We start from the raw sequence: 10,659 nt of genomic DNA, 5'->3' as shown, positions 1-10,659 counted from the left end.
GGGCTTCATGCACTTGGGCACATCCAAATGTTATTTTTGTCTGTTGAGTTTTTCCTAGCACTGAACATCTCTGTAGCCTGCTTTTTCTGCAAAGTGGATTGCTGGTCCCAGACACTAGATCATTCTCTCCAGGGCCAGAGTTGCCTCCGATTTAGGTGACTTACTCAAGGTCATTGAACATGAGGGGCAGAATAAAGGATATTTCAAAGGCTTTTGAGTTCCAGGCCGTTGCTTACCCACTGAACCTCACAGAGGAAAATGTAGAAAACTTGCAGATCTATTTATCTACATATTTTCTTTGGCTGAAACTATGAATTTAAAAGTGATACCTGCATTCATGTCATGGTCCATTCATTTCAAAGCAATTATAAAAAATTTTACTCAACCCCAGACAATTCATGTTGTTGTCATTATTCTGGGATTCTATAACTTGGCATAGAAAGACCTGTAGGTTCCATAGTGCGAAATGCAGCATGAAAATAGTTTGAAAGGGAGAACAACGATAAAATAAATCCGGTATTTTACATGTTTTGATGAAAGTGAATCATGGAAACTCTCCAGATTGCCCTAAAAAAAGTCACATTTATATCTTTCATCAGAAATTTTATACCACTATTTCCACCTAATATTTCAAATCTATTTGCTTTCCAGAATACCTGTCCTGACTTCCTGAATCTCCTGCAATGGAAATAGCACATCTATATAGCTAGTTTTCCAGTAACAATCAGAGTCCAACCAGAAAAATGGAAACCATTGTAGATCTTTGAAATAAAAGAATTTAATTCAGGATTACACTGGTTATGAAAGAGCTGAAAGCCAAACAAGGCATGGTGAGGCAAACCAGAGTAGCAGCAGTAAGTACCATCCCAGAACTGGAGGAATAAGGAAAGGAAGTGGTATTTCCAGAACCCAGAAGCCAGGGCCATCAAGCCAGAGCCAGAACCACAAAGGGTGCTGTCCAGGCAAAGCTGGAACCATGGATGAGGCTAGCCATTCTGGAAGCGCCACAGGAGATGAGTTTCGGGGTATGCTTTGACTTCCCTTTCTCATTCTGTAATCTTGTATCAGGGCCTTGCTTCACAAGAGAACAAGAGGGCCCTGGAAAATATAGTTTCCTGAAATGCACAGCAGGGGAAGGAAGGAAATAAATCTGAGTGCAAATGAACAGTGAATCGGCTAATTATCTTGCCCATTAAAGAATTCTACCTAATTCAAAATTCTGCATTAAAAAAAAATCTGCTTAGATTTATTAACATAAATAAAAATTTGTCTTTTTATGCTGTGGTCTCTTCCTATCTAAAATACTTTTGTAAGACTTTATTTATTTTTCAGTAGAAGTTAGACCAGAACATTTGAGGAGAAGAGGTATTCAGTGACATTTGATGTAAGGGTGAAGGGTAACAAAAGTTTACCAGAACAAATATTTCCCCATTAGTGAGCAGTTGTTCTCCTTCCTGGATCCTCGCCTCTCAGAGCCATCTGACTGTTTTCATTATTAACAGACGCTCTTTTGTTCTGTTTAGAGACCTCTATGGGAATATGATGGCTACCTTCTATATGTACACACCTCCCACCCCCAAGCCTGATGATATATCTCTAAGAAGAAAATCCCGTGCCCTATTCATGACTAGCTCTGTGCTAAACTCCTTTATAACTCTTCTGAGGGCCCCAAAAGGTCTACAAACAACAGATAATGTGATAGGACTTCAAACAGTGTTCTGGAACATAGAGAAATTGTATGTTACATGTTGTGTGTGTGTATTCATGTGTGTATTCATGTGTATTTTTTTTAAGACAGAGTCTCACTCTGTGACCCAGGCTGAAGTGCAGTGGTGCAATCTGGACTCACTGCAACCTCTGCCTGCTGGTTTCGAGTGATTCTCCTGCCTCAGCCTCCCAAGTAGCTGGGACTACAGGTGTGCACCACCACACCTGGCTAATTTTTTTTTCTTTTTGTATTTTTAGTAGAGATGGGGTTTTAACATGTTGGTCAGGCTGGTCTCGAACCCCTGACCTCAGGTGATACACCTGCCTCAGCCTCCTAAAAGTGCTGAGATCATAGGCGTGAGCCACCGTGCCTGGCACATGTGTATTTTTTAAGGAAATTTTCAAAACTCAAAAAGTATTTAGAGATAATGTCCTAGATATTCCCTGAGGGATGTAAAATATATATGTGTTATAGTCTAGGCCATTTTAGGTTGATAGAGTGTACAAATTGTAGGAGTATATTAAAGGTAGGGGAAAAATCTTATAAGAATAAATTTCCTATTTCTCTTCTATATGGCTTTTTTAAAAAATGCCACTGTGGTTCTTCAGGAGTAGTCATTATACTCCTCTTGGTTTTTACACTGAATTATGTAGTGGTCTTCATATGCTAGAAGTGAAACATACAGATTTGGCTCCTTTTTCTAGAAAGAAACACATAATGAGAAATCTATACCCTTCTTTTTCTGAGTTATGAATCTGAACACCAAATTTTATAAATAGAAACAAATTCTAAAACATGATTGTGATCTCTACCACTAAAGATTCATCATAAGGTCATAGAATGTCAGTGGTGGGAGGAACTTTAGAACTTATCCATTTCAACTGTTCACGTTATTCAAGGAGAAACTGAGATGTCTTGAGAGAATATGACTTGACTACAACTGGTCATTTCTGTTTATCACATTCCTGGTTCCTTGTATCTGTAGTTGAAAAATAAAGGTGCTCAGCTACCATTTTACCTATCTATTAGGGTGAATTAATAATTAATGGGGATTTTTCCATTTTCTACTAAACCCTTTGATTGAAGATAGCACTCAAACAATTCTGTAAATAACTAGAATTAATATTTATCAGCACATTGCCCCTTTTCTCTTTCTAAAAAAAAATGGTAAAGAATGTTGGCTGTTGGGTAGAACAGTTTGGCTTCAAACTCTTTCATGAGGGCCAACTATGACCAAAAATGGACTATTAGCAGTTTCTTAACTTTGTTAGGATGCGTCTCCTTTATCTATAAAATGAGGACAATCAGAGCACCTACTTCATAAAGGTGTTGTGAGGATTAAATTAGCAGAAATACCTGGAAAGGTCATATGGCACATAATAAGTTTTTAATAAACACTAACTGTTTTTAGGTGCTTGGAGTCTTAGTACACTGGATACTCACATTGTCCAGAAAGGAAACTGGAAAATACTGCCCTAATCGTAAGCACTTGGAAACACTCAACCCTGCATCTGCCAAAATTTATAGCTGATTAAAGCTGGACAGAAAGACATTTACATTTGAGAAATGGTTAAATTGAGTTATGAGACAAGAGCCAGGCGATATGAGATTTATTCTTTATCAATGAAGGGTTCATAAGTTAAAGTAAGTTGCTAGAAACACAATTTTGAAGGAGAAATGAACAAAATAGCAAACAAATAAATTCATTAAAGGTTATAGCAAAAAGCCCAAAGCCTGTCTAGACCAGAACCTTATAAGCCATTGTTTTATAGAAGATTTTGGAGTAACTGAGCTGGTTGTAGATGCTATAATAGAAGGGAAAAATTCCAGTTTGCCTCTTCATAAGCAGAGATTTTGCCCAGATCTCTTTTTTTTCCTCTTTATAATTGGGTTTTGCTTGTTGTCTTTAGCTTGGCAGAATGTGGTCACAAGGATGCCTATGGTTTCTTCCAGTCTGCCTCTCCCTACAGGGTTCTCAAAGCCTTAAATCACAAAGAGGGAAACTGTTGAAATTGTTTCTCTCAATCTCGAGGGTTTTTTTTAATATTACTTTCGCTTTGGCAAATGCATTTATTCAGGCATAGTCTCGTCAGTACTCTAGAAAATGTGATACCATTTTGCACTGAATTTTTAAATGCAAAAAAAGAAAATTGGCCGATTAACAAATATAACTTCTTCTGATTCTGTTCCAATAATCTTGGCGAATTGTTACACTGTAAACTCAGAAAATTAACATTGCCAGATAAACAGTCTGATTATATCTGGCATGATCAAGGTTTCACGGTGAGAAAATGTACAGTTTCCTTAGGCCCCTGACAGAAAGCCATTCTCAGACCTTTTCAAAGGTTTTCAGAAGTTATTACTTGAGATTAACTATGGCATTAGCAAAAAGGTTTAAAGTCTTGTTTATAGTTAGCCCATGGCTCTGAGTTGGCAAGTTCTCTCTTAAATGATCAGTATTTGAGTTCTGGGTGCTAATGAGTGAAGGTTAGCCAGAGGGAATGGGGATGAGGGAAGCAAAAGACGAAATCATTCTCCATAGGGGGAAAGAAGCATTAAAATAAGATCTCAATAATTTTTAGAAGTCAAATTGTGCTTTAATCACTGCCTTCAAAATAAGCTGAAGAAGTCCCACTGACGTTCCCAGCTGTAAGAGAAGAAGTCTGGTTTCACATTTGCATGATTTTGAAGGTCAAATGCCTGCTATCCAAGTCTTACTGATCCATATGGACTAGAAATGCCACAATATGCAATCATCATGAAGGCAGATTGTCTCCTGTAAATCTGTCCTTTCTGTAACACATTCAAAATGTACCGTATTGGCTGGATTATAAATCCTTTCAGGAAATGTGTGCACATTTGCAGAAGCAGCTTCATGTTGATGGATGATGGCATTGATGTTCAGAGAACCCTTAAAATAATTTATCATATGTATAAATCTGGTTTTGCATGTGTCTGGATTTCCTGTGACCAGGTATACCTGTAACTCAAAATCTATTTTCTAGAAGTAAATAAAACCATATTCAAGCTGCTCCTCATGTTTACCATAGATATGGGACCTGGAGATTTTGTGTTATTCCAGATCCCAACTTTATTTGCTAAGTAGAAATTCACTTAAACAGAACCTTAAAGTTTGAGAATGCATTTATCCAAAGATTCTTCTCAATAGTATTTATTTACATTAAAGTAATCAATGTCCCTAATATTTTTAAAATATCATTAATTTTATTATTATTTAAATATACAAATTTTCAGAAACAACCATTGTATAAAAGAAAAATAAATAAATTTGATGATAATTCCAAAGCATTCCACTGTGTTGTGGGAATTAATAACTTTTGCAAACCTGTTTTTGAGGCTTTTCTAGTATGTACTAAACATTACTAAACTCAATTTTCACTATTCTCTAAGTAACTTCTCTCACTTTAAAAAAATAAGCTATCTTTCCTTCTGTCTTAGAGACCATGTACCTTTTTAGCATTGATGAAAGAAGCACTTTCTATGGTCATAAATACACAAATTAGATCCACTCCATGGACACTCAGGAAAAACTTTTTATAAAAAGTGAGTTCTAATTTCAGTTGTTTGAAAATACCGTAGGACATCAGAATTAAGAGAGGTTGCTTTCCAAATAAATGCCCTTATTAAGCAAACAAGGATACTGAAGCCCAAATTGAAGTGACCAAATAAAATCAAGTGGTGAGTCTGTGGCTAGCCTGGATTTAGTACTAGAGCTTCAGTTGGCTGTCGAATTATTACGTGTGTTTTCCCACCATGTGGTACAAGGCCTCTCACTGTAGTAAAAGAGTAAATGAGAAGCTGAGTAGATTTTTCCACAAGTTGATTTTTGTTCGTTAGTTTGTTTTGTCCAAATAATGTCTCATTTTGCACTCAAATTGGTTTACTTATAGCATTTTCCTAAAAGGAAGATATCATTCATTCATCTATTCATTCATTCCACAAACATCTTCTGAGAATCGGATACATGGCAGGCATCTTAGTGGGTGATACAAGAGCATTTATAATCTAGTAATATAACCCAGTGTACAGCAACACAAGTGTGGATAAACAAGGAGCTTCCTAATACAATCCCAGCACATGTTCCTCCTACTAACCTCAAAATAAGATGTAAACCCTGTAGCTATAGTACCTGGTCTTGTCTCAGCTCTACCACTTTCCTGCATGCCCTCAGGAAAATTACTAAATCTCACTGCTGCAGTCTCCTAATATGTATAATTATAGTACTTACCTTATAGAGTGGCTGTAATGATTAATAATTGGTAATTAATTGACATAACTTGAAGATTTTTCAATCATCCAGACACATAAGAAGTGTTCAATAAACAGAATTATTATTATTACTTTTGCTACCACCAAAAAATGAAAAGTTTTCCACAGATAGCCTCCAAGACAACCAAGGTCTAAACTCCATTTCCTGTTATTTTAATCCCTTCCAGTTCCCCTGTCTCCCCTTTAATTCTGACAGAGCATCTAATTTTAAGATACATTTTAATGGCTATTTCTGCAAACAGAACATTTAGCAGTTTGGTGATGAAATCAGGGCAGTTTGAGATGTCGCACGCTAACTAGTTACACTGCACAAAGCCTAACAGTTTGCTTTCTGTTTTTAAAGAAGCGTTTCGTTTAGCCATACTTGTGGCGGCACATGTAATTGAAAAGAGGCATATGGAGACCAGCATGCGAAGCCTAACAAACACTTCAGAGTGGCTTAAAAACTATGCTAATCAGTTTTGGGAAACCATGTTTTAATCTAAAAGAAAAAAAAGACAACCTCCTCAAACCTCAGGTGATTTTTAAAGAAACGGAGTCATTGTTGATATTAACTAACACTGGTTTATTTCCCTGTGCCCTGGCAAATGTCAGAAATAAAATTGAATAATATAAAAAGAAAGGAATGAGAGCACTCGTGACCTGTAGTTTTATGGAGCAGAAATGAACTCTTAATGGAGGTAAGCCAGGACACCAGCACATGGTCAGAGTCTGAGTGCAGACTGTCTCCTCCAGGACATGGAGAAGCGACACAGGCTCACTCTTCCCTCTGCAAGAAGGCGCTGAGCATTACCTGAAAACAAGGAAGGCATCAGATGAACAGACCTTTATAACAGAATGTGCATCTGCCAAGACAAAAATACACGACAAGCTTCTGGTGCTGGCACGCTGACAGTATGAGCAAGCTGTCTTAGTAGTGATTTTGCAAATCATTTGAGTTTAAATTCTATATAGGCTGTAGGGCCCCTGGAGCATCACTTTCTATATTTGGCCTCCTCATTTAGCTATGTTTGGAATAAATAGGCTATGGATAAAAATCATGCCCTTTAAGAGTTTTGCATACACACACTAGTTCTGCATATATATCATATGTGAACTGAGTGATTAATGCAAGTCTATGTTCTCATGCACACACACATACACACACGCATGCATGCACGCAGGCTTTCTAAATGTATTTTTAAGTTGTTTTCCTTTGTGATTTTTTTTCCTCTCTCTTTTTTTTTAAGTTCAGCTCTCTGGCATTTAGTAACCCACAAGCTGCTGTTTCTTTTTCCAAAGAAGTTCAGCTCGATGGAGGGGCCAAGAAAAATGAGCCCAACTGATGATTGTAATCTCGAAAGAAAATATGCTTTTTATCAGGGACCGCATGTTGCCAATGCCAATTAAAGTAAAACTGGGAGATTTCATCAGATACCAACCTGGAGAGCAGACATGACATGCCAAGTATAAGAAAGGAAAAGTATGTTTCAGGTGGAATTTCAGGGATGTCTATTTGAGGTGAAATGTAAAAATATAGGGTGGAAAGTGTAACACAGATTGCAGATTGAGCAATTGTTAACCATCTAGAGAAGAAATAGCACAAAAGCAATGGCATAGATTTTTATTTCAGCTGAGGTAGATGAACATCGTGACTCTGCCACTGACTGCTGGAATTATCTTCACATCTCCAGGGCTTAGTTTCCTCATCTGTAAATCAGGAATCACAAAATTCTGTTTGGATTTTTAAAAGTATTAATAATAATGTGGATTAAGAGACCAGTTTCACAGTATTTATTTGATAAAAGTTAAGAGAGAGAGAGAGAAATTATTAGTTTGTGGATAGACGGATCAAGAAGATCATGTTCCTTTTCAAGTGTTACGGGCAATCATTTAGACACATTCATCCTGCAAACACTGAGTATTCTGTTCATTATTCTAGTGTCTTTCAATGGTAGGCAAGGAGTATTGCAACGGTATGGCATCTTCTTACAGTTTTATTTCTGACACCAACTAATAACATATTCATGAGATCACCTGATTCTACCCCATCAACAGAGATTGCTTTTTACATTTGCTTTGGAGGTACAAAATGTTAAAGGTTAAGGAAAGCTTCACTTCAAGGTTACTCTGACTTAGTTCATTCCTAAAATGATTACGTCAACCTTGAAAGAGTATTGTATGGGTAAAATGAGAGAACCATGCAAAATTACTGACACCCAGTATATAATAAAAATAGTTTCTTTCTCCATTCCCTTAGGTGAGTTGAGTGTTTTTCATATTTTAAGAACTAGTAGAAGTTTGTTAGCTTTTGACTGTGTCTTTGTCTTAAAAAATTGGGTACAAGGGCTGAAATTCATGATTGAAAGACTGGAAATATTTTTGTGCTTTCCAAAGTGTTGAACTTGAGAGAGTTCTTTGAACTTGGTGAAAATGATTATTTAAAAATTTGCAGTATGTTGGACATAATAATTAAGATATGGAAACCAGCTATTGAGCATATATTTTTTCACACATATTCTTTATATAAACCTACCACATTTTATTTTTATGCCTCTTCAAAGTTTATAGTTAGTAGAAATAGATACTTACACTGTACCCATCCATCATTTATTTGAGTATTGTATTATACTGATCCTGAAATTCTGGAATTTGGTCATTTCTTTCTAGAAAGATTCACCATGCATATTTGTGTGAAGTAAGAAACAAGCTCTTACTCAAACTCTTACTCTTATTCTGTGTAGATAGATTCTTTTAAGTCAGTTAAGAAGTTTCGAGTTTCAAAAGACCAATAACCAGGTCATACATGTACTAATTTGGCAAAACCTGAGGCAGTGCTAAGGTCACTGAAGAAGATGGGTTTGTATTAATGTTTCATTCAACTCCTCATATTTGGCCCCAATCACAATAATCATGTATATTTTGTCAACTTTCCTGGGTATTCTGCTCTCCTATAGGGAGAGAATAGAGTTAGAAGTTCAAAGAACTAAATAAAGTGCAGCTGCTACAACTTTGGTTGAAAAGAACATCATTTGTTTGGCTCAAAATTTCTGTGATCCTTCAGGGTGTTTCATTCATCTTCCCAGATAGTTCCAGCCTTCTGAAAATGCTTTAAGACATTCTCAGGAAAACAACATAAATGTAATTCATACTGTTTATCTGAAGTAGTCACACTCAAAAAAGCTATCTTATTTCCATAAATGTAGACTCAAGTTGGGTTCATGCAAAGATAAGATTATACCTACTTTTTAAGCAATCTGGACCTTGCTGTTATCAGTTGTTGCACAGAACACAATGTAATTTGTTTTCATAGAGTGCATATGTATGTGGATTTCTCTATCAGTTCAATACTGTTCATCTTTATTGTTGCCAAGTTGCTATGGTTTGAATGTGTCCACCAGAGTTCATGTGTTAAAAACTTAATTTCCAATGATTAACTTTCAGTGATATTGAAAGGAGAGGCCTAACAGGAGGTGTTCAGGTCACGGGGCACCACCTTCATTAGTGGATTAAAGTCATTATCACAGAAGTGGGTTTCTTATAAAATAATGCATTCAGTCCCTTCTTATTCCCTCTTGCTCTCTCTTTGCACTTCTTTCATGGGATGATGTAGCAAGAAGGTCCTCATCAGATGGCAGCCCCCCAAGTCTTGGAATTCCCAGCCTCCAGAATCATGAGGCAATAAATTCCTGTTCATTGTAAATTACCCAGTCTGTGGTACTCTGTTATAAAAACACAACTAAGACACCTGTGTTGATGGACTTTGCTAACAATAATGAAGGGACATTGTTAACATAATTATTTATTATAGAAAAACACAAAAGTGATCTAAATATTCAATAAAGTTAAAATAATTATGAAACATTGTATAATATTACTAATGTCTATGTAATTAATGTTATTGAAATTTGACTTATAGGTAATTGTAAAAAAATTTTGAGGGCTGCACCTCACATCTATTAAATCAGGGAAAGGACTAGATAGTCTGCACTTTTAAGAAATAGATAAAGCAATTTTGGAGGATTTTGTAATAAAATGTGAGCTTAATATGAAGGTAAGAACCATTACTGTTTTGCTTGCTTCTGTAATGTTCTGTACATAACAGGCATTTAATACATTGATGCTGAATAAATCCATGGAGTATTATCCTCTACAGAAAACTATGTTATTTTTTCAATGATTGTTGAAAGTATATAACACTAAAAGGTACCGTTGATATAATACTCAATGAAAACAGAGAATAAAAATTGCATGTATTCTATGGTTACAAATGTTTTAAAACATATTTTTAAATGGATAAAAATCACACCCAAAGAATCATTTATATATGATAAAAAATGATAAATAGAACCTCACCAAAATTAAAATTTTTCTTTGCAAAAAGACACTATTAAAGGAATGAAAAGACAGGACCATGCTGAGAGAAAATATTTTCAAATTAATCATCCAACAAAGGACTTGTATCAAGAATATGAAAAGAACTCTTAAGCTCAACTGTAGGAAAACAAACAATTTAAAAATAGTCAGAAGATTTGAATTTGTATTTTACCAAAGATACTTGGATGGCAAATAAGCAGAAGTAAGGATGCTCAACATTTTCAATTATTAAGAAAATACAAATTAAAACTACTATAAAATACCACTAATATATTAGGATAGCTTAAAAAATGTTGACAATATCA

At 35.7% G+C, this 10,659-nt stretch overlaps 1 long non-coding RNA gene across 2 annotated transcripts in view; it reads right to left on the bottom strand.

Moving 5' to 3' along the window:
* Positions 1–6,542: 6,542 nt before the first annotated feature.
* The window catches only part of LOC107986294 (uncharacterized), a 61,322-nt gene continuing 57,205 nt past the window's right edge, over positions 6,543–10,659 (bottom strand). For both annotated transcript variants that reach the window (XR_007058155.1, XR_007058156.1), the window contains exon 7: positions 6,543–6,791. This is a non-coding gene — a long non-coding RNA (uncharacterized LOC107986294). The remainder of the gene's footprint in view (positions 6,792–10,659) is intronic.

The sequence above is a fragment of the Homo sapiens genome, chromosome 4 (assembly GCF_000001405.40).
Source record: "Homo sapiens chromosome 4, GRCh38.p14 Primary Assembly".
Taxonomy (NCBI): domain Eukaryota; kingdom Metazoa; phylum Chordata; class Mammalia; order Primates; family Hominidae; genus Homo; species Homo sapiens.
The sequence above is the reverse complement of the archived record's forward strand: the minus strand, read 5'-3'. Positions and strand labels throughout refer to the sequence as shown.